Raw genomic sequence first — 24,631 nt, forward strand, 5'->3', positions numbered from 1 at the left:
TGCTCCGACATTTAAGTTGTCTAATGTGCAACTTCATAAAATATGTAATTTTTACTGTAAATGTTTTCTTTATTGTTGTGAAATGTAAACTCTGAGATTCTGTGAGGCACACAGAATTCTTAAATGCCCCACACATTTCCTGCCCCTTGGAGACACACCCTGCATCTGACCATCCCTTGAGTGTGGGCGGAATCATGAATTGATTAGCTCACAAATCCCTGATTAGATTAGGGATACCCTGAACCAATGGACATTAAGTGCTGGGCCTGATCCAATCATCTGAGCTCTTTATAAGGAACTGAACCTCCCTAAGATCACAGAGATCTCCAGGCAGAGAGAAATTTTTCCCCACTCGAGAGTCCCCAGCAGTGGCTGTGCAGATCCAGAGATCCCCACAGCCCACACCTGAGTGACATCTCTAGGAGTGAGAATTTATTATGCATTGATCTAAAACTAATATACTCTCCATACACAAGTTTCTTCACATTGTGGAAGTCAGAAAAACCAGTCTGTATTTTTGTATGGGGGAGGGGGAGGCAGGGAGCCGTGCCTAGTTGTGGCTGAACTATGGCTCAGAAGAAACACAGTAGCTAAAATCTTTGAAAGGTTCTCATTGCAGATCCATAATCAAACCACCTTAGCTGGAACTTCTGCCTCTACAGCGCTGCCGTGGACCATATCTGCATCTCGCCCATGGTGGCAGGCAGACAAACAGGTGTGTCTGCTGAGATGTTCACCATGCCCCGAGTTCTGAAGGGCAGCAACAAGGATGGAATCCCTGAGGGCCTAGATGGGAACTTGGAAGAACCCAGGGATCAGGAAGGTGAGCTCAGGAGTCAGGACATCTTGGTTCTCAGAGCAGGTGACAAAGAAGCCTCAGCCTCAGTTCCTCCTGCAGCCAAAAAATGGAAAACAGATACCAAAGGAAAGAAGAAGAGGAAGCCCAGTGTGGATGCAGAGGAGGCTCAGAGGATGACAACCCTGCTTTCTGCCATGTCTGAGGAGCAGCTGGCCCGCTACGAAGTGTGTCGCCGGTCAGCTTTCCCAAAAGCACGCATTGCAGCTCTGATGCAGTCTATCACTGGCAGATCGGTGTCTGAGAACGCGGCCATTGCCATGGCTGGAATAGCCAAGGTCTTGGTTGGAGAGGTGGTGCAAGAGGCCCTGGACATGTGTGAGATGGGGGAGAAACGCCCCCGCTGCATCCCAAGCATTTAAGGGAGGCTGTTCACAGGTTAAAGCCCAAGGGCTTCTTCCCCAACAGCAACTACAAAAAAAAAATATGTTCTTTTAGGCCCAAGGCCAGAGGGAAAGGTCTGTTTGTGCAGGAATAAGTATTGCATTCATCTTCCAATGACAGGACTGTGTTTGCTGGAGCTTCTGCATCTCAGTCCACCCTGGATTTACCCATGACTTTAATGTCTTTCTCAAACTCTGACACTGGCCTTCCCTAGATGAAGACAGTGGCTTGTTTCATAATCACTTCGACTAAATATTTGGGCTTCCTAGGGCATATAGAGGCATTTTTCTGTGTTTGCCTAGTTGGAAGAAGATGGGTACATGGGCCTTGAGTTTTTTGTGGGCAGGGAGATGCTTTCAGAGAGGGAAATCTCTTCCAGGGGACTTGTATGGTTTTATACTGAAGCCTGGAGTTGCTGTGTCTTAGCTTTTATGATTATGTCTGGTATCAATAAATGAAGCCTGCAGAGACTTTTCTCTTGTGTTCTTGTGCCCTGAAGGCTGTGTCTGAGCAGGAGCACTGCAATTGTTGTCCTTGTATGTATTTTAAATACTTTTATGGATTTTTTTGGGTCATCATTGAACTGTTTCCAACCTGAGGAAATAAAAACAAAATCACAAAGCATTATTTTCTCTTATTTGACTGTTCTCATAGGTATTCCTCCCTACTTTGCTTTATGTCAGCAAGTTGATTGTCTACATTATTGGAAATTAACATAGTATAGGAGAATCTTATAAGACTAGAGAGAGAGAAACAGATTCCAAAAACCACCTGTCTGTGAACACCCATTTGTAATATCATCCACAGTTTAAAAGACACATATAGAGAGAGCCTATTGATCCTGCAGGTTTGCTTCACGTGGTAATATTACCAGTGCTTCTATAGGCACCCAAATTTAGTTTAAAACACTGTTACAGAGTATTCTTGATTTTATGCTTTCTAGAGGCAATCTGCTCATAGAATTGAACCTGAGTACAGCAACATAAAAAATAAATTATTGAGATATGGAACAAAGTAGGTTCATCAGGAGTTATAAAGTTATCCCATAGTCTCCTTGTACATACTCTACTTTACCTTTATTATGGCAAAGAAGACTTTTCCATCATAAAATAAAGACCTGAGATTTATTATCAAATCATTGTGAACATTCCCAGCACAACTCGCAGATATTGACGGTGCTAGTTCAGCCTGTTTACCTTTGCCCTGTGCCCCCTAAATCATAGAATATGAGCAAAAAGGATCTAAAACCCCTTCCAGTTCAGTTCTAATATTGAACAGAGAGTAACATCAATTATTTTTTCCTGAAGCCAAATAGACCCCCTCAAAACTGTTACTTTATTTATTTTTAAACTTAGCTTTAGCTCTTAAAATGGTACTTATGGTACATAGAACCTATCTTTGATTGGGTGAGTATTACAGAAACTTTTAAACTTTAACAAGGATGGGGAAATTCTGTTTCACACCACCATATTTTGACATTACATAGCTTTCATTTTATTTTACCAACTTCCTTGTAAAGGCATATAACAAGTTAGACTACTGGGTCTAAGGGAGGGATATGGAGGGTACAGATTCTTGGAAGAACTCATGGAGTTGGGAGGGCTCTCTCAGAAATTAAAGTGCTTGAGCAACCAAAATAAGTAAGATCCAAGGGTCTCAATATCACCCAGGCTTTATACTGCTCTCATCTCATTCCTTTTTCCATGGCACTGGGGAGTCTTGGAAGCTGTGTTCTGGCAGATGTGGCAGGCCTAGTGCTCTCTGAACACTAGAAGTAAAGAGAACCTTGCCCAAGCAACCTGAGGTGGGACAAAAATCTACAGATAGCAGTGAGAGTAGTGATTGGACACACAAGGTTAGAATGTTTTTCTGGCCCCCACGTAGAACTCAATGCTTTTCGTGGTCTGAGTAAAGCTGAACTGCTGAAGACAGAAACAAGATCCCATCAAGGTCTCAGAGGTCAGGTCAGTTCAGGAGCAGAAACACAGTGTTGTTTTTTCAAAGAGGAAAAATGGATTCTCTGAGAAGGTTCAGTGCCCCTACACATTCTAAATCTTCTCAATATGTAATATCATATAGCCACAGTTCTCAAGAAGAAAATTTGTAGAAAGTGATATCTTTCCAGGAAAAATCTTTGACAGCTTTCATGGCTGGTTGTATTACATGTTAATAACAATGTAAGTTTTCCTGGAGCTTCACTGCCATTATTAAAGTCTACCTCATAATGTGCATTTGGAGACTGCCTAGAAAAATGTGGCCTCTGGTTGGAACTGGTCAGGTAGTGAGGAGATGACTAACAAATGAAGGGACTACACTTCGCAGCTTCTTTCTCTTTCTTTCTTTCTTTCTTTCTTTCCTTTCTTCTGTCTTTCCTTCTTTCTTTCCTTCCTTTTACCCTTCCCTTCCCTTCCCCTCCCCTTCCCTCCCCTCCCCCTCCCCTCCCCCTCCCATCCTCCTCCCTTCCCCTCCCCTCCCCCTCCCCCTCCCTTCCTCTCCCCTCCCCGTCCTTCCCTGCTTTCTTTTTTTCTTTTTTTGTTTTTTTGATGGAGACTTGCTCAGTTGCCCAGGCTGGCATACAGTGGCATGATCTTGGTTCACTGCAACCTCTGCCTTCCAGGTTCAAACAATTCTCCTGCCTCAGCCTCCAGAGTAGCTGGGATTACAGGCATGTGCCACCACACTGGCTAATTTTTGTATTTTTAGTAGAGATGGAGTTTCACCATGTTGGCTAAGCTGGTCTTGAACCCCTGACTTCAAGAGATCCACCCGCCTCGCCTCTCAAAGTGCTGGGATTACAGGTGTGACCCACCGCATATGGCCTACAACTTCACAGTTATTTTCAATAATTTAGGATCACTCTGAAATAACCTTAACATCCGCCCTGCCTGCCTTTGCCCCCCAAAAGTACTTAGTCTGTGCCCAAATAAAGTTTAAACAATCTAGCTGCACTGTTTCCAAGTGTGTAGTATCTAGGGTCTGATCTTCAAAAGTACAACTAAACAAACTTGTACCCCAATTAGACAAGTTTAAATAATAATTTGATGGTGTTATGTTTTCTATGAAGAAGGATACAAAGTAGAGTGGTAACTTTCATATATGGCGGAGAAGGGGGCCATGCTCTCACAAAATGAATGGAGTCAGATCTTTGTAATAGTTTAATAACTATCATGAATATTGGAGAGACACGTCATATAATTTCGAGTTAGTGCCGAGTATAGGAATATCTAGCAGTCTATTTTATAAGAAAATATTTTCTTTTATATGAACCTATTAATGAGGTAGATGAAGTTTTTTTGTTTTTAATTCATTTTTCTTAGGCACATATTCAAGGGAGCATACTAGTGTTTGGTAAAACGAGATGATTCCGCATCAGGTTTTTGTTTTTAAAGATGAAAGAGCTGAAAAACCTTGTTTTGTCACAGCAATGCCATCCAGTTATTCAAATTTTTTGAGATCGTAATTCAAAAATTACATTGTGATTTAGCTTCAAATTTTTTTTTGTAATGACCTTTGAATTGACAACTTATTAAAATTTTCTGTAGTTTGGATAAAAACAAAACATTTGAAATCATCTAAATTGAAAAAATCGTGTTTGTCAAAATCTACCTCCTACTCCCTCACCTAACCATGCCATGTTCAACTCTTGTACTTGAAAAGCATTGAAAAATTTAAGTTCTGTTAATTTCAATCCACTTTCACCAAAGTAATATTTTTTGTGAGAAAGCCATAATCTCATCAATAATGCCTTTAAAAAAATTCAACAGAAAATATGAACTAGTAACTGATCATGATAAGAAAATAAAACCCAGAAAAAGCAAAGTCCTAAGGCAGAGCAACTTCTGTCTTCAATGTGAAATCACCATAGTCTCTTGGAAGTGGTTTATCTTTCAAAGCAGTTTGCTGTCCAGAGGGTGCAAAAGGCCCATACAAGTTTATTCTTCCAAATAGGAAGATGTAGAAAAAACTCAGATGTCAGAAACGATCCAAATATTTAGTCAAAGTGATAATGAAATAGGTTGCTTCCTTCATCTAGGTGTGGCCAATTTAAGAGTTTGAGGAAGATATAAAAATTGTGGGTAAATTCAGGGTAGATTGAGACACTGAAGCTCTGGCACACAAAGTCTTCTGTCATAGGGAACATGGAACAAGTATGTTTCCCCCCAGGATTTCTTTTCTGGCCTTGAGTCTAAAATCACATGATTTTTTGGTACTTGTTAAAAATGTGGCCCTCTGTAATCCCAGTACTTTGGGAGGCCGAGGTAGGCAGATCACGAGGTCAGGAGATCGAGACCATCTTGGCCAACATGGTGAAACCCCGTCTCTACTAAAAGTACAAAAATTAGCTGTGCATGGTGGCGCGTGGCTGTAGTCCCAGCTACTCGGGAGGCTGAGGCAGGAGAATCGCTTGAACCAGGGAGTCAGAGATTGCAGTGAGCCAAGATCGCGCCACTGCACTCCAGCCTGGCGACAGAGCGAGAGTCCATCTCAAAAAAAGAAAAAAATTGGTTGAGCATGGTGGCTCATGCCTGTAATCCCAGCACTTTGGGAAGCCAAGGTGGGCAGATCACGAGGTCAGGAAATCGAGATCATCTTGGCTAACATGGTGAAACCCTGTCTCTACTAAAAATACAAAAATTAGCTGTGCATGTTGGCGGGCGCCTGTAGTCCCAGCTACTCAGGAGCCTGAGGCAGGAGAATGGCGTGAACCCGGGAGGCGGAGCTTGCAGTGAGCTGAGATCGCGCCACTGCACTCCAGCCTGGGAGACAGTGAGACTCCGTCTCAAAAAAATAAAATAAAATAAAATAATAAAAAAATGTAATAATAATAATAATAAAAAGTGGCCCTTAAACTTGAACTTGCAGACAGCCTGCCTCAAATGGTTGGGCTGCAGCGGGGGCGTGTCTCCCCACGTCTCATACACTTCCAAGGCCTCTCCTACTACCTCCCCTACCAAGACCTGGGTCACTCCAGTCATGGCCATGGATGCGACCATATTCTAGGACGCTGAACTGCCAGAGATGGACAGTATCAAACTTCTAAAGGCTGCCTCTTTCCCTTTCCTACCCAGGAACACACCCACACTGCCTCCCATAATGTGAAGTGACTTGTGGATACAGTCTATTCGTATTTTAGAAAGTGGAGTTGAATGTGTGTTCATAGCAAACTAGTAGAAACAGCCCATGACACAGGGAACATTGCAAACACAGAGCTGCATACAGGAAAAGTCAAAGTGTGGATCTCATCTACTGATCAAGTTAAACAAACATCACTGAGTTGCCATCAGGAAGAGATTTATTTGGTTTGAAGTAGTCTAAACACAGGCATAGTCCAGTGAAAATGAACAGGTTTCTTGAAAATTGATGTAGAGCTGAAGTGCTGAAACTCGCTCACTGAAACATTCCCACCTGACACTAGTGCCTTATGACCCTCAAGGTAGATTAGACATTAACAAACAAAAGCACACAGAAACACCACCAAGACCTGATTTCTGCCTGTTTCCACTCCCAATCCTATGCTTAGCTACCTTTGGGCTCTTAAGGACCCTCTCTGCGGAGGCGGCGGGCCAGCTGCATGTCTCGGGGCATAATTGTGACGCGCCTGGCATGGATGGCACACAGGTTGGTGTCTTCAAAGAGCTGCACCAGGTAGGCCTCGCTGGCCTCCTGCAGGGCGCCAATGGCCGCACTCTGGAAGCGCAGGTCCGGGCTGATGGCCTGGGCGATCTCGCGCACCAGGCGCTGGAAGGGCAGCTTGCGCAGGAGCAGCTGCGTGGACTTCTGGTACTTTCTGATTTCCCGCAGCGCCAGGGTGCCAGGCTTGTAGCGGTGAGGCTTCTTGATCCCTCCTGTAGGCGGCGCCCTTTTTCCGGCTGCTTTGGTGGCCAGGGGCTTCCTGGGGGCCTGCCAGGCGGTGGCTTTGCGGGCGGTCTGCTTGGTGCGCGCCATGTCGCGGGGCCTTAGCCTCTCCCCTGTCCTTGGGCTGAGCCTGGCCGGCTGCAGGCGGTGCTGGCGTCAGAGAGCGAGGGCAGTGGTGCTGTGGACAGGATTCAGAGAGCCTGTGAGTTGAGATCCATGCGCATGACTCTCCCACACACTTAGCCCCTGCCAACCCAGCCCCACACTTACCAGCCCTCAGGTCTGTGGGTCGGAGGCCGCGCTGCTTAGTCTTTCCGGAGGGTCCTGGGTTTCCTTGGTCTACAAAGCAGCAGCCAGGAATCTCCCTCGCAGGCAGTCTCTTTCTGACTGGAGATCTCTGTGGTCTCAGTAAAACCCTGCCTCTTATAAGGAGCTCAGATGATTGGATTAGACCCACCCAGCTCCCTTCCATTGTACTTCCTGCTCCACTAGATCCTCAACCTAATCAGGGCTGTGAAAACCCAATCAAGTCCCTGGGTTCTGCACACACCCAATGGAGAACGAACCTTCTGGAGTGCGCCTTGTGGGAGGGATGGTAGGTGGGTGGGTCACCTAAAGTTCTAGGTGTGAAAGAGAGTCTGAAAGTTTACATTTTCTCCATCATCATGGAAATATTGACAGTGAAAAATTTTTTTTAATAAAGTCGAAAGTTAGCCAACTTGCACATCTGCTTCAAAACACCAATGCATGAGATCATGAGATTTTATCAGTTCCTTTGAGAATGAAGTGTTCCGGGAGCGGGGTGGGCGGGGGGGTATGGAAATTTGAAAAATTTGAAATGGTCACTTCTCTGTCAGGGATTCTCCTCTGACATTTTCTCCCCAAAAGTGACACTCGTGAAAATCTTCTCGTAGCCTCCAGCAGGTTTGGCTCCGGATAAGCCAAAGCTTTCCTGAGAAAAGAATCACGTGACTGTCGCTGGTGCTCCCCCTCAGCCCCCTCAAGCTCCTTTTCCCCTATGAAGGTGGAAGGGACACCTGAGCTGAGCTATCCTGCCGTTGCCCATGATGGGAATGCCACGAGGTCCTGAGAAGCCAGCTTTGACCTCACTGACCTGCTGACCCGAGGTCACAGCAGAGCTAAGAAAACATTGAATATATTTTGTTATTTCAATATTTGTAGGGGTACCTGTGGCTTCAGGTTCCATGGATAAATTGTGTAGTTGTGAATTCTATTCAAATATACTGCTAAAAGACTTTTGTGATACCTATAGTAGAAATTAGTGCCCAATTCAATGTAGGTATGGCACACAGAACAATAGTTTCCATGATATCAGTACTTACAAAATAAGTTCGTATTAGTGTTTTAAGATTCGAGCTTATTATTATTATTTTGTTGTTAAATTTTTTAAAATGTGTTTCAATAGCTCTAGGAGTACAAGTTGTCTTTCGTTCCGTAGATGAATTGTATAGTGCTGAAGTCTGGGATTTTAGTGCACTTATCACTCAGTTTACATTTTACTCAACAGGCAGTTTCTTCCTCCATCACCCTCCTCTCACCTTCCCCACTTCTGAGTCTCTAATGTTTAGTATATTACACTGCATGCTTTTGTGGACCCATAGCTTAGCTTTCACTTCTAGGTGAGATGGTGCACTATTTGCTTGTAGATTGCTGAGTTACTTTACGGAGAATAATGGCCTCCAGTTCCATCCAAGTTGCTGAAATGACATAGTTTCATTCCTGTTTATGGCTGAGTAGCAGTCCATGGTGTATATGTTCCTGTTTTCTTTTTGTTTGTTTTCTTTTGTTTTATTATTATTTCAATAGTTTTTGGGGAGCAGGTGGTGCTTGGTTACACAGATAAGTGATTTAATGGTGATTTCTGAAATTTTGGTGTGCCCATCACCTGAGCAGTGTACACTGTACCCAATGTGTAGTCTTTTATTCCTCACCCCTTTCCACCCTTCCATCTAAGTTCCACAAGGTCCACTGTAACATTCTTATGTTTTTGTGTTGTCATAGCTTAGCTCCTGTTTATAAGTGAGAACATATGATGTTTGATTTTCCATTCTTGAGTTACTTCACTTAAAGTAATGGTCTCCAATTCCATCCAGGTTGCTGGGAATACCATTATTTCTTTCCTATTTTTGGCTGAGTTGTATTCAGTGGTATATCTATACACACACACACACACACACACACACACACATCTATATAACATTTATATATATATAACATTTTCTTTATCAACCAGATGATGGGCATTGGTTGTTTTTTGTTTTTTGTTTTTTTTTTGAGATGGAGTCTCACTCTGTCACCCAGGCTGGAGTGCAGTGGCACGATCTTGGCTCACTGCAAGCTCCACCTCCCGGGTTCACGCCATTCTCCTGCCTCAGCCTCCCTAATAGCTGGGACTACAGGTGCCTGCCACCACGCCTGGCTAATTTTTTGTATTTTTAGTAGAGGCAGGGTTTCACCATGTTAGCCAGGGTGGTCTCGATCTCCTGACTTCATAATCCACCCACCTCGGCCTCCCAAAGTGCTGGGATTACAGGTGTGAGCCACTGTGCCCAGCCTGGTTTCATATTTTTGCAATTGTGAATTGTGCTGCTATAAACACGTGTGTGCAAGAGTTTTTTTCATATAATGACTTATTTTTCTCTGGGCAGATACCCAGTAGTGGGATTGGTGGATCAAATGATAGATCTCCTTTTAGTTCTTTAAGGAATCTCCACCCTGTTTTCCATAGTGGTTGTGCTAGTTTACATTCCTGTCAGCAGTGTAAAAGTGTCCCTCACCTCCTCCACCATAACATCTATTATTTTTTGATTTTTTAATTATGGCGTTCTTGCAGGAGTAAGGTGGCATTGCATTGTGGTTTTGATTTACATTTCCATGATCATTACTGAACATTTTTTTCATATGTTTGGTGGCCATTTGTATATCTTCTTTTGAAAATTGCCTGTTTATGTTTTAGCCCACTTTTTGATGGGATTGTTTGTTCTTTTCCTTGAGGCTTTGTTTTAGTTCCTTGTAGATTCTGAATATTAGTCCTTTGTAAGATACACAGTATGTGAATATTTTCTCCCACTCTATAGGTTGTTTACTCTGCTGATTCTTATTAAGTTTTTTTGCTGTGCAGAAACTTTTTAGTTTAATTAAGTCCTATCTATTTATCTTTGTTTTTCTTGCATTTGCTTTTGGGTTCTTCTTGGTCATGAACTCTTTGCCTAAGCTAATGTCTAGAAGAGTTTTTCTGATGTTATCTTCTAGAATTTTTATGGCTTCAGGTCTTAGATTTAAAGTCTTTCATCCATCTTGAGTTGATTTTTGTATAAGGTGAGAGTTGAGGATCTGCTTTCATCCTTCTATATGAGGCTTGCCAATTATCCTGGCACTATTTGTTGAATAGGGTGTCCTTTCGCTCCTTTATGCTTTTGTTTGCTTTGTCGAAGATCAGTTGGCTGTAAGTATTTGGCTTTATTTCTGGATTATCTATTTTGTTTCATTGGTCTATATGCCTATTTTTATACCAGTAGCATGCTGTTTTGGTAACTATAGCCTTGTAGTATAATTTGAAGTTGGGTAATGTGATGCCTCTATATTCCTTCTTTGTGCTCAGCCTTACTTTGTCTATGCAGGCTCTTTTATACCTCCATATAAATTTTAGAACAGTTTTTTTCTAGTTCTGCGAAGAATGATAATGGAATATTGATGGAAATTGCATTGAATTTATAGATTGCTTTTGGCAGTATGGTCATTTTTACAATATTGATTCTACCCCTCCATAAACACGGGATGTTTTTATGTTTGTTTCATCTATGATTTCTTTCAGCAGTATTTTGCACTTTTCCTTGTAGAGGTCTTTCACATCCTTGGATAGGTATATTCCTAAGTATTTTACTTTATTTTTCGCAGCTATTATAAAAGGGGCTGAGTTCTTGATTTGATTCTCAGCTTGGTCACTGTTGGTTTATAGCAGTGCTACTGATTTGTATACACTGATTTTGTATCCTTAAACTTTGCTGAATTCATTTAACAGATCTAGGAGCTTTCTACATGAGTCTTTAGATTTTCTAGGTATACAATCATACCATTGGAGACAGTGACAGTTTAAATTCCTCTTTAACAATTTGGATGCCCTTTATTTCTTTCTCTTGTCTGATTACTCTGGCTAAGACTTCCAGTACTATGTTGAATAGGAGTGGTGAGAAAGGGCAAACTTTTCTTGTGCCAGTTTGCACAGGAAGTGCTTCCAGCCCTTGACCATTCAGTATGATATTGGCTGTGGATTTATCATATACGGCTCTTATTATTTTGAGGTATGTTCCTTTGATACCTAGTTTATTGAGAGTTTTTAACATGAAGTGATGTTGAATTTTATGAAAGGCCTTTTCTACATCTATTGAGATAATCATGTGGCTTTTGTCTTTAGTTCTGTTTATGTGATGAATCATATTTATTGATTTGTATATGTTGAACAAGCCTTGCATCACAGGGATGAAGCCTACTTGATTGTGGTGGATAAGCTTTTTGATATGCTGCTGGATTTGGTTTGCCAGCATTTTGTTGAAGAATTTTGCATCAATGTTCATCAAGGATATTAGCCTGAAGTTTTCTTTTTTGTTGTATCTCTGCCAGGTTTTGGTATCAGAATGATGCTGGCCTAATATTTTGGAATAGTTTCTGTAGGAATGGTGCCAGCTCCCTTTTTTTTTTTTTTACTTCTGGTAGAATTCAACTGTGAATCCTCTGGTCCTGGGCCTTTTTTTGGTTGGTAGGCTATTAATTACTGCTTCAATTTTAGAACTTATTGGTCTATTTGAGGATTTGATTTCTTTCTGGATCAGTCTTGGTAGGGTATACGTGTCCAGGAATTTATCTATTTCTTCTAATTTTCTAGTTTATGTGCATGGAGGTGTTGTTTATAGTCTCTGATGGTTGTGTGTATTTCTGTGGGGTTAGTGGTGATATCCCCCGTATTTCTGATTATGTGTGTGTGTTTTTTTTTTTTTTTTTTTGAGACGGAGTCTGTATCACCATGCTGGAGTGCAGTGGCGCTATCTCGGCTCACTGCAACCTCCACCTCCCGGGTTCCAGCGATTCTCCTGCCTCAGCCTCCCGAGTAGCTGGGACTACAGGTGCACGCCACCATGCCCAGCTAATTTTTGTATTTTTAGTAGAGACAGAGTTTCACCATTTTGGATCAGGATGGTCTTGATCTCTTGACCTTGTGATCCACCAGCCTCGGCCTCCCAAAGTGCTGGGATTACAGGCGTGAGCCACTGCACCCAGCCTGATTGTGTTTATTTTAATCTTCTCTTTTTCTTCTTTATTAGCCTAGCTAGAAGTTTATCTATTTTATTAATTTTTTCAAAACACCTGCTACTGAATTCATTGATTTTTTGAAAGGTTTTTTTTGTGTCTCTATCTCCTTCAGTTCAGCTGTGATCTTGGTTATTTACTATCTTCTGTTAGCTTTGGCATTTGTTTGCTCCTGTCCTCTAGATGTTTAGTTGTGATGTTAGGTTTTTAACAAGTCCTTTCTAACTTTTTGATGTGGGTGTTTAGTGCAACAAATTTCCCTCTTAACACTGCTTTAGCTGCATCCCAGAGATTCTGGTACATTTTTATCTTCATTCTCATTAGTTTCAAAGAACTTCTTGATTTCTGCCTTAATTGCATTATTTACCCAAAAGTCATTCCAGTGCGGGTTGTTCAGTTTCCACGTAGTTGTACGGTTTTGAGTGAATTTCTTAATTTTGAGTTCTAATTTGATTGTGCTGTGGTCCAAGAGACTGTTATAATTTCAGTTCTTTTGCATTTGGTGAAAAGTGTTTTACTTCCAATTATGTGATTAATTTTAGAGTAACTGCTGTGTGGTGAGGAGAAGAATGTATATTCTATTGTTTTTGGGTGGAGAGTTTTGTAGATATCTATTAGGTCCATTTGATCCAGAGCTGAGTTCAGGTCCTGAATATCTGTTAATTTTCTGTCTTGATGATCTGTCTAATATTGTCAGTGGGGTGTTAAAGTCTCTCATTATTATTGTGTGGGAGTCTAAGTCCACATTGTTTTATCATTATTCTTAGCTTCTTTCCATTGGGTTACAACGTGATCTTTTAGGTCAGCGAAGTTTATTTTTATCCACATCCTGTAATTTTTTTATTTTTTTATTTTTAAATTTTTTAAAAGTTTTTTTTATTATACTTTAAGTTTTACGGTACATGTGCACATTGTGCAGTTTAGTTACATATGTATACATGTGCCATGCTGGTGCACTGCACCCACTAACTCGTCATCTAGCATTAGGTATATCTCCCAATGCTATCCCTCCCCCCTCCCCCCACCCCACAACAGTCCCCAGAGTGTGATATTCCCCTTCCTGTGTCCATGTGATCTCATTGTTCAATTCCCACCTATGAGTGAGAATATGCGATGTTTGGTTTTCTGTTCTTACGATAGTTTACTGGGAATGATGTTTTCCAATTTCATCCATGTCCCTACAAAGGACATGATGGCAAATTTTAGCCATCTCAGTCTCAGCCCATTTCTGAGCCCTTGGTGGAGAGGTGTTGTGGTCATTTGGAGGAAAAGGGGCACTCTGGGTTTTTGAGTTTTCAGGGTTTTTTTGTGCTAATTCTTTCTTTTCTTTTTTTTTTTTTTAAGAATTAAAAGAGGCAACATGAATTTCTTTTTTTTTTCAAAATTGAAACTGATGAATATCAACATCACTTAGTAAAGTTCAGGAGAAAAAAATCAAGTTAGATATGCAAAAATGTGATACGAATGTGATAGGAGATGTTATTCTCTGAAGCTTAATTTCATCTGAAAGAAATGTAAGAGAAAATAAAAAGCATTGTCAAATTCTTTCTTATCTTTGTGGGTTTATCTAGCTTTAAGCTTTGAGGTTGCTGACCTTTAGATGGGGGTTTTGGTTTTGTTGTGGTTGTTGTTTGCTGTTTGATTTTTTTTTTTTTTAAACACTCTGGCCACTCTTCTGTAGGGCTGCTGCAGTTTGCTGGGTGTCTGCTCCAGATTGTAGTCACCTGGGTTTTTCCCATACTTGGAATTATCACCCTTGAAAACTGCAAAACAGCACAGATGGCATCTTGCTTCTTCCTCTGGAAACTTTGTCCCAGGAGGGTACTAAACTTGTTACTGGCTTGAATGTATATGTAGGAGGTGGCTGGTTACACTGCTTGGGAAAATCTCATGCAGTTGAGGGGAATAGGATCAGGGACATACTTAAGCAATCTAACTGCTTTTTGGTGGAGCAGCTGTGCTGTATTGGAAATCCCTTCAGCCCCTGATCCATTAAGGCTCTCCAAGGCCCACAGGCTGGACCAGCTGAGATGCCTGAACAGTCATGGTGGCAGCATGCCCTACCCCATGGGTACTTAGACTCAGGGAGAAATTAGAACTCTGTCAGCTGTAGAACAGAGGCAGGTATGGCTGGAGGCCCTGGCTGGGAGGACCCACCCCACAAGGAGCAGTGGATTGGGGTCCTGCTTAAAGAAGCAGTCTGGCTACATTCTGGGAAAGCAGCTGTGCTGTGCTGGGGGCACCCTACCTCATCCCGACCATTTGGACTCTCCAAAGCCCACAGACCGAAACAGCCGAGTTGACCAAACAGCATAGATAGTAGCTTGGCCCTTTCCTGGGGTCTCTGTCCTGTCTCAGGCAGGCTCCACCTTGTTTCTTGTGGCTGGCTAGAATTCCAAGCCAGTGGGTCCTATCTTGTGAGTTGCCATGTAAGTGGGGCCTGCAGATTGTTGCTGCTCAGCCCCCAGGATTTAGCCCCCTTCCTAGGGTTATGCACAGACCTTCTGCCTTGCCTGAGCTGCAGATGTCCTTGCCAGGGATCCCGAGGCCAGAATATGTAAAGCTCCTGGGTCTCTGTACATGTTTGAGCAGCTGCTCTGTGGAGACTCCACACAGCTGTGTGCATCAGATCCAAGGCGCTGGAGACACGGGCCTATAAGGGGACCTCCTGATCCACAGATTGCAAAGATCCACGGGAGAAGTGTGGTTTCCCGGGGGCATGCAATCACTCACTGCTTCCCTCCACCGGGGGTGCGGGTTCCCTTGGCTCTGTGTTGCTCCAGGGTGGACCGTTTCTCCACCCTACTTTTCTTTTTCTTTTTCTTTCCTATTTTTGGCTGAGTTGTATTCAGTGGTGTATATACATATATATAAACATTTTCTTTATCGACCCGATTGATGGGCATTGGCTGGTTTCTTTCTTTCTTTTTTTTTTTTTTTGGGACGGAGTCTCCCTCTGTCGCCTGGGCTGGAGTGCAGTGGCGCAATCTCGGCTCACTGCAAGCTCCGCCTCCCAGGTTCACGCCATTCTCCTGCCTCAGCCTTCCGAGTAGCTGGGACTACAGGCGCCCGCCACCACGCCCGGCTAATTTTTTCTATTTTTTAGTAGAGATGGGGCTTCATCGTGTTAGCAAGGATGGTCTTGATCTCCTGACCTCGTGATCCGCCCGCCTCGGCCTCCCAAAGTGCTGGGATTAGAGGCGTGGGCCACCGCGCCCGGCCCATCCTGCTTTTCTTCATTCTCCATGGGTCAGGTTGTTTTCCTACATAGTCTCAATGTGAGTACCTGGATATTTCAGTTGAAGGTGCTGCATTCACTCGCCCCTCTTCCTCTCTGTGAGTGCCACAGACCAAAGCTGCTTCCGATTGGCCATCTTGGGGCCCACTCGTCAGCTGATGGGCACTTAGGTTGATTTTATATCTTTGCAATTGTGAATTGTGCTGTGATAAAAATATGTGTGCAGGTTTCTTTGATATAATGACTTCTTTTTTTTAGGTGTGTACCCAGTAGTGGGATTGCTGGATGGAATAGTAGATCTACTTTGAGTTCCTTGTGAAATCTCTACACCGTTTTCTGCAGAGGTTGTACTAATTTACATTCCACCAGCAATGCCTAAACGTTTCCTTTTCACCACATTTACGCCAACACCTGCTGTTCTTTGACTATTGAATAATGGCCATTCTCGCTGGGGTAAGGTGGGTGAGAAACTCAGCTGTTTTTCATTGTGGCTTTAATTTGCATTTCCCTGATAATTAGAGATGTGGAGCATTTTTCCCTGTTTATTAGTTGTTTGTGTGTCTTCTTTTGAGAAACGTCTATGCATGTTGTTTGCTCACTTTTTAATGGGATTATTTGTGTTTTCTTTGATTTGTTTCAATTTCTTGTAGATTCTGGATCTATCAGTCCTTTGCCAGAGGCATAATTTGCAAATAGTTTCTCCCATTCTGTAGGTTGTTTGTTTACTCTGATGATTTATTTTGCTTTGGAGAAGCTTTTTCTTTTCATTAGCTCCCACTGATTTATTTTTGCTTTTTTTGAATTTGCTTTTGGGGTCTTTGTTATAAGTTCTTTGCCTAGGCCAATGTCTAGAAGAGTTTTTCCGGTTTTCTTCTAGAGTTTTTATTGTTTCAGGACCTAGATTTAAGTCTTGAAGTCACCTTAAGTAAATTTTTGTGTATGATGAAAGATAGGGATCCAGTTTCTTTCTTCTGTGTGCGGCTATTCAATGTTCCCATCACCATTTATTCAATAGGGTGTTATTTCCCCAGTCGATGTTTCTGTATGCTTTGTCAAAATCAGTTGGCTTTATTTTTGTTTTCTCTATTTTGTTTCATTGGTCTGCGGATCTACTTTTGTGCCAATACCACATTGTTTGGCATAGCCTTTTGGGATACTTTGAAGTCCGGTAATGTGATGCCTCCATATTTATTCCTTTTCCTTAGGATGGCTTGGCTATCCTAGCTGTTTTTGGTTCCATATGAACTGTAGAATTTTTTTTTTCTAACTCTGCATAAAATGACATTGTTATTTGGGAAGAAATTGCATAGAATCTGTAGTTTGCTTTGGGCTGCATGGTTTTTTTTTTTTTTTTTTTTTTAACAATACTGTTTTTTCTAATCCACGGGCATGGAAAGTATTCCTGCTCGTTTGTACCATCTATTACTTCTTTCAGCAGTGCCTTGTAGTTCTCCTTGTTGGAATCTTTTACTTTCTTTTTAAAGTATATTCCCATATACATATGTAGCTACTGTAAGAGGGATTGAGTTTTTGATTTAATTCTCATCTTGGCTGTTGTTGGTGTATAGCATGCTATTAATTTGTGTGCATGACTTTTGTAAGCTGAGATTTTACTGAATTTACCTATAAGGTCTGGCTGTCTTTTGTAGGAGTGTTTAAGGTTTGCTGTGTATACCATCAGATCACCAGGCAACAGAGATAGTCTGACTTGCTCTTTTCCAATGTTAATACCTTTTATTTCTTCCTCTTGCCTGATGGCTCTAGCTAAGAATTTTGTGCTCATTTTATAGAAAAGTTTTAGTTTTATGCAAAATTGGGCAAAAAGTAGAGAGTTCCCCTATATCCTTTCCCCCACATAGGCATAGCCTCCCTCCGGTATCAACTCCCTATCCCAGATTGTATGTGAGTTACAATCATTGAACCCACATTGACATATTATTATCACTCAAAGTCTGTAGCTTACATTAGGGTTCACTATGTTTTTGTTGTACATTCTATGGGTTTGGACAGATGCATCATGACAGGCATCCGCAACCATAGTGTCCTATGAAATAGTTTCACTTCTCTAAAAATCTTTTGTCTCTAGCTTCTCTATTCCTTCTTTCAGCACCAACCCCTTCCCACCATGGATCTCTATATTTATTTATTGGTAAATCTTGTCTACTGACATTTCATATTGTATATACTTGTTATGTACAACATGATGTATTATATACATTTTACAATGTCAAAATCTAGCTAATTTTTACATAGTTATTGTAGTTTTGTTAAGAACACTTCACATTCACTCTTAGCATTTTTCAAGAGCACGATATATTGTTAGGTGGAGTCACCACGCTGTAAAATAGATCTCTTGAACTTATTCCTCCCACGTGACTGAAATTTTGTATATTTTGACTGTCTCCTCAAATACCCCACCCCTGCCACCCCAACCCATGGTAACTACCATGCTACTGTCTACTTCTATAAGATCAACTTTTTTAGATTCTACGTAAGATTGAGGTCAAGTAGTATTTGTCTTTCTATGCCTTGCGTATTTCACATAGCATAACATAGCATAATGATCTCCAGGTTCATCTATGTGTCCTTATTTTTTTAGGCTATTCCTTAAGTAGCCTTAAAATATAAGAACACATAGATGAACCTGGAGATGTATTTTGTTGTGTATACATATCACATCTTCTTTATCCAATCATCTTTTTTTGGACACTTATGTTGATTTTATATCTTAGCTATTGTAAATACTGCTTCAATAGACATGAGCATACAGACAGCTCTTCAGTATACTAATTTTATTTCCTCTGGATATATATTTAGCAGTGTGGCATTGGTGGAACATATCGTAGCTCTATTTTTAGTTTTTGGAGGAACTGCCATACTAGTTTCTGTAGTGGTTGTACTAATTTGCATTCTCACCAACAGGGCAAGCGGTTTCCCTTTTCTTCACATCTTCATCTACAATTGTTATCTCTTGACATTTTCATAACAGTTATTCTAATGGGTGTGACGTAATATTTTATTTTGGTTGTAGTTTGCATTTCTGTGATGGTTAGTGATGTGGAGCATTTTTCCATACAACCACTGGCCATACCTTTCTGTCTTTTTTTTTATAAATGTCTCTTTAGGTCTTTTGGTTATTTTTATTTTGGATTTTTGTTTTCTTCCTATTGAGTTGTTTGAGTTTCTTAGGTATTTTGGAAATTTATTCCTATCAGATATATGGTGTGCAAATATTTTGTTCCATTCTGCTGGTTTTCTCTTCACTCTGATGATTGTTTCCTTTGTTGTGCAGAAACTTGTTAGATGTAATTCCTTTTGTCTACTTTTGCTTTCGTTGTCTGTGTTTTTGGGTTATATCTAAAAGATCACTAGCCTAACCAGCGTTGGGGATGTTTTTCCCTACGTTTCTTGTAGTAGGGTCATAGTTGAGGGTCCTGCTCTGAAGTTTGAAAGAGATTTTAGTGTATTTTTGTATATGCTAAGAGAAAAGGGTATAATCTGATTATTTTGCATGTGGATATCTAGTTTTCCTGTCACCATTGATTGAAAAGACAGTCATTTCTTCATTGTTGTTGTCACCTTTGTGTAAACTCAGTAGGCCGTACATGTCTGGATTGACTTCTGTGGCCTCTATTCTGTTCCAGTGGTCTAAGTGTCTGTTTTTAAGCCAGTGTTATTCTGCTTGGGTTACTATCATTTTATAGAATACTTTGAAGTGAGGAAAGCACAGATCTTTTTATTTTCTCCGCAGTTTGCCCTGTGACCTCACTACTCAGAGAAATGTCAAAAGAGATGTTGATTTTTCACTTTTTTTTTGAGACAGAGTTTCACTCTTGTTGCCCAGGCTGGAGTGCAATGGTGCGATCTTGGCTCACCGCAACCTCCACCTCCTAGGTTCAAGCGATTCTCCTACCTCAGCCTCTCGAGTAGCTGGGATTATAGGCAGGCGCCACCATGCCAGGCTAATTTTTGTATTTTTTTTTTTTTTTTAGTAGAGATGGGGTTTCTCCATGTTGGCCAGGCTGGTCTTGAACTTCCGACCTCAGGTGATCTGCCTGCCTTGGCCTCCCAAAGTGCTGGGATTACCGGCATGAACCACCATGCCTGGCCAATTTTGCACTTTTTAAATTTTATGCTTGTTGTTAGGGCAGAGTGATGACGACTAAGCTCCATCCACGCCACCACGAACACCAGAAGTTCATTTGATTTTTTATTATACATTTGTTCCCATTTCTCTTATATTCAGAGTATTTGATGAATTATATGTCAGTGTAATTAGAAAGAGTGTTTTATTTTAATGAAAATATTTAATGCTTAAATCTTATAATCATAGGAATTTTTTCTTTAATTTTTGCATTTTAACACCATAATATAAAATTAAAATATGTGAGAATTCTTATGTACTATAAAATTACATGTCAGATGTATTTTTCTTTCTCCGAAGGACAACAGAGAGATCAGTATATTACCTTAGCTATAAAAATAGTTTACAGTAAAACCGATTCTTCAGAGCTGAAGGCATGGAAATGAGTGCAGAGACTAGACAGTGTTTCTAGGGTCTGTTTTCTCTCTGAAGTTTTCCATGCGGCTTCTAGAATACTTTACCATTTTAATATTATCAAATAGCCCTCCCTGACATAAAACAATATTGGTAGCAATGTGAGTAAAGTCATTTTAGACAACAATTTGGTGTGTAATTTTAATTTCATTTCTTGCAAAAGTCAGAAAATAGTTCAGTGGATGACAAATGAAAATTCAATTTTCATTCATTCAAATTTCATTCATTCAAATCAATTCCAGTCTCCTGGTCAGGACACAGCCTTCTGGATAGACTACCATAAGGAAATAGTTTCTGGAGGCTTCACCTGTTGAAATCAAGCAACAAGCATAAAAGCTAAGACATTGCAACTCCAGGCTTCAGTATGAAAACACATAAGTCTCTTGGAAGAGTTTTTCTCTCTTAAAGTAGCTTCCTGTCCCCAGGATGCTTTGGACCCACACAACTTTTTTCTTCCAGGTAGAAAGAAACAGAAAAATGTGTCTATATGCCCTTAGAAGCACAAATATTTAGTCAAAGCAATTATGAAAGAAGCTGCTGCCTTCATCTAGATGAGATCAATGACACAGCTGGAGAAAGACTTTAAAATCGTCGGTCAATTCAGCCTAGACTAAAACACAGAAGGTGCAGGGCACAGGCAGTCCTGTCATAGAAACAGTGGATTCAGTTCTTTGTCCTTTAAGAACAGGCCTTTCTATCTAGACTGGGGCCCAGAAGAAGACAATTATTTTGTACTAGGTGTTGAGGAAGTGGCCCTTGGGTTTTCATCTGTGAACAGCCTCCTTCCAATGCTTGGGCTGCAGCGGGGCGTCTGATTCCCCATCTCACACACACCCAGGGCTGCTTCTACCACCTCCCTGAATAAGACCCCGGTCATTCCAGCCATGGGCATGGCCATGACCATGTTCTAGAACACTGACCTACCAGTGACGGACTGCATTAGAAACTTCTAATAAGTGTCTCTCTCTTTCCTACCCATAAACAGACCCACGCTGGCTGTTCTGCCTCCTGTAATGTGAAGTGACTTGTGGATAGAGAGTCTATTCACTTTTTAGAAAGTAGAGTTGGATGTATTTTCATAGCAAACTAGCAGGAACAGCCCAGGAGACAGGGAACATTGAAACCATGTAGCTGCATATAGAAAACTTCAAAGTGTGGGTCTCATCTACTGTTTGATCAAGTGCAACAAATATCATCGAGTTTCCATCAAGAAGAAATGTATTTGCTTGTAAATAGTCTAAATGAGGCATTCTCCACACAAAAGAGCAAATGTATTGACAATTGATGTAGAGCTGAAGTGCTGAAACTTGCTCACTGACACATTTCCACTCAACACTAATGCATTAGACCCTCAATGCAGAATAAAAGTTTACAAATAAAAGCAAATAGAAACACAGTCACTACCTGTGATTTCTGCTTATGTTTCCACTCCCAATCATATTCTTAGCTACTTTTGGACCCCATGGGGGAAAAGAAACCAGAACGTAATAAAACTTCTAACATCAGAACTACCAGTAACTGAAAGAAGAGAAAAAAAAAACACAACAAAAGAGAAACGAAGCCGTCTAGAGTGCAAGGTATCCCAGGAGCGTGGGCTCTTAAGTACCCGCTCCACGGAGGCAGCGGGCCAGCTGCATGTCTCTGGGCATAATTGTCATGTCACGTGCCTGGCATGGATGGCACACAGGTTGGTGTCTTCAAAGAGGCGCACCAGGTAGGCCTTGCTGGGCTCCTGCAGGGCGCTAGTGGTTGCGCTCTGGAAGCGCAGGTCCGGGCTGATGGCCTGGGTGATCTCGCGCACCAGGCGCTGGAAGTGCAGCTTGCGCAGGAGCAGCTGAGTGGACTTCTGGTACTTTCTGATTTTGCAGAGTGCCAGGGTGCCAGACCTGTAGCCGTGGGGCTTCTTGATCCCTCCTGTAGGCGGCGCCCTCTTGCTGGCAGCTTTGGTGGCCAGGGGCTTCCTGGGGGCCTCCGAGGTGGTGGCTTTGCAGGTGTTCTGCTTGATGTCCACTGTGGTGCAGGGCCGCGGCCTCTCCCCTGTCCTTGGGCTGAGCCTGGCCAGCTGCAGGCAGCTCTGGCGTCAGGGAGCGAGGGCGGTGGGTTTGTGGACAGGACTCAGAGAGCCTGTGAGTTGAGATCTGTGCAGAAGACGCAACCCCACTCTTAGCCCCTTTCAATCCAGCCCTAGACTTACCTGCTCACAGGTCTGCGGGTCAGGCTGCTCGTTCGCCCTGTGGGGTCCTGGGCTTCCGAGGTCTACACACCGGCAGTGGGAATCTTCTTGCAGCTAGTCTTGCTCTGTGGTCTCAACCAAGTTTAGAGTCTTATAATTCGCTGCGATGATTGCATTAGAGCCACCTGGCTAGCTTCCATTGCACTCATTGCTTCACGAGATTTTTAATTTAATGAGAATGAGCTGTCCCCATCCCACCCTACAAAGTAACTGGTCAGGGCTGAGTGCAGTCCTGGGGGTAAGGGGATGACATGCCCAGGTGTCAGCTCAAAGGATCTCTGCATCATCCTGAGGTGGGAGGCAGGGCAAGGGGCACCAATGAGGTTCTCCTCCCTCCCCCACCACCCCCCACAGTAAAAGCTTATCAAGTCTATGGGTAGTGCCACACCAAAGGGTGGTGTTACCTTCCATTGTATTTACGGGTTCACAGATTTGTAACCTAATCAAGGTATGAAAAACTAAGTTCATGGGTTCCTCCAACACTCAAAAGAGGGGCAGATATCTGGAGTATGCATTATGGGATGGATCATAGGTGGTGGTTGATACGGTTTTGTTGTCACCACCTAAAATCTCATCTTGAATTGTAATCCCTATAGTCCCCATACTCCCCATGTCAAGGGAGAGACCAGGTGGAGGTAACTGAATCATGGGGGCAGTTTCCCAGTTTCCCCCATGCTGTTCTTGGGATAGTGAGTGGGTTCTCATAAGATCTAATGGTTTTATAAGGGACTCTTCCCTCTCACTCTTCGCACTTCTCTCTCCTGCTGTCTTGTGAAGAAGGACGTGTTTGCTGCCCCTCCTGCCACGATTGTAAGTTTCCTGAGGCCTCCCCAGCCATTCAGAACAGTGAGTCAATTAAACCTCTTTGCTTTATAAATTATCCAGTCTCAGATATTTCTTTATAGCAGTGTGACAACAGACTAATACCGTGGTCATCCAGAATTCTGCCTGCAACAGAGATTCTGACAGTTCACATTTTATGATAGTAATGGAAGTATTTATAATAAAAACATGTTTTAATAAAGTTGTATCTTAGGCAGTTGATGAGGCATGAAGTTGTTTTATCAGGTGCTCTGATGGTACATAGCACCAGGAAAGAGAATGTGAAAAATCTAAGTAGCCACTCCTCTAGCTGATATTTCTCTGTGGCAGGGATGTTCCTGGGGCATTATTCTCTGCTAAGAAACACATATTGGAAACTGCAGAGAGGCTCATGGGAAAGCGGAAGCTTTTCTGATAAAATGATCCTGTGTGAATATCACTGATGCTCTTCTTGGCTCCTCCTCAGTCTTGGACCTGGATGTGATGGCTGGATTGAGCCATCTTTCCATTGCCCAGGTTGGAAATGACAGAGAAGCCATCCCTGACTTTATTGAGCCATTTATGTGAGTTAACAGGTGATACCTCCAGGTGGGTTCATGAGAACAAAATTCCTGTTTCAATCCATCTTACACTTTTCTGACACTTGTAGCAGAAAGCAACACTCATCCATATAATGCATGCCATTCGCAGACAAGAAATTTTATGAGATCTATAGTAACAAAATAAGTAACACCATTACAATTTGTATGTATATTATGTCTTTTAATACTAATGATTTGATTGAAAAGAATGTATTATTAAAAATAAATCCCATGGCATTAGCTCCAAGTGCTTTGGTAGCAGGAGCTGTAAATTTTGATCAATATTTAATATCAAATAATGTTTAGTTTTTATAAATAAATATATAGAAAGATAATTGAATATGTCTACAGAGAGGGTGAGTATAGATAAATTGTTAGAAATAAGAGTAAATATATATAATGGTGTAATGAGTGATAATGATTTGAGTGTTAGACATAAGTTGATGAGTATTGAATTGTGTAGTCTAGAGGATTGAAATGTTATCACCAAGAAATGATAACTCTTCAAAATAACCCTGGAGAATCCAGAGAGATTAGATTCTGATTGTCAGTGAGTCAAAGGAAAGGCTGTCAATGACATATGCAATGGACACTATTACGAGGGCCATAGGGTGGAGTGTTGAGTTTAAAAGACATTAATACATCACAGAACAATTATTTTTGTTACTTGTTGTCCAGAATTCTGCCACAACAAACTGAAGGCACCAAATGGATATGAAAAACTCATTTAATACAGCAAAATGTTTCTTACCTCTTTTTTTCCCCTGTAAGTTGATTC

At 41.7% G+C, this 24,631-nt stretch overlaps 1 protein-coding gene and 2 pseudogenes across 1 annotated transcript; 1 reads left to right on the forward strand and 2 right to left on the reverse strand.

The window, feature by feature from the left end:
- LOC391768 (TAF11 RNA polymerase II, TATA box binding protein (TBP)-associated factor, 28kDa pseudogene) lies at positions 688 to 1,283 on the forward strand (annotated as a pseudogene).
- H3Y1 (H3.Y histone 1) lies at positions 6,516 to 7,497 on the reverse strand. Its single transcript, NM_001355258.2, has one exon. The coding sequence runs from the start codon at positions 7,184 to 7,186 to the stop codon at positions 6,776 to 6,778; it is 411 nt and encodes a 136-aa protein (NP_001342187.1). The 5' UTR covers positions 7,187 to 7,497; the 3' UTR covers positions 6,516 to 6,775.
- A 14,132-nt stretch (positions 7,498 to 21,629) lies between these two features.
- H3P22 (H3 histone pseudogene 22) lies at positions 21,630 to 22,415 on the reverse strand (annotated as a pseudogene).

The sequence above is a fragment of the Homo sapiens genome, chromosome 5, assembly GCF_000001405.40.
Source record: "Homo sapiens chromosome 5, GRCh38.p14 Primary Assembly".
NCBI classification, from domain to species: domain Eukaryota; kingdom Metazoa; phylum Chordata; class Mammalia; order Primates; family Hominidae; genus Homo; species Homo sapiens.

What these genes read in the sequence shown, in the direction of transcription:
- H3Y1 (NM_001355258.2), bottom strand. Translation starts at nt 7,186, where the DNA reads ATGGCGCGCACCAAGCAGACCGCCCGCAAAGCCACCGCCTGGCAGGCC.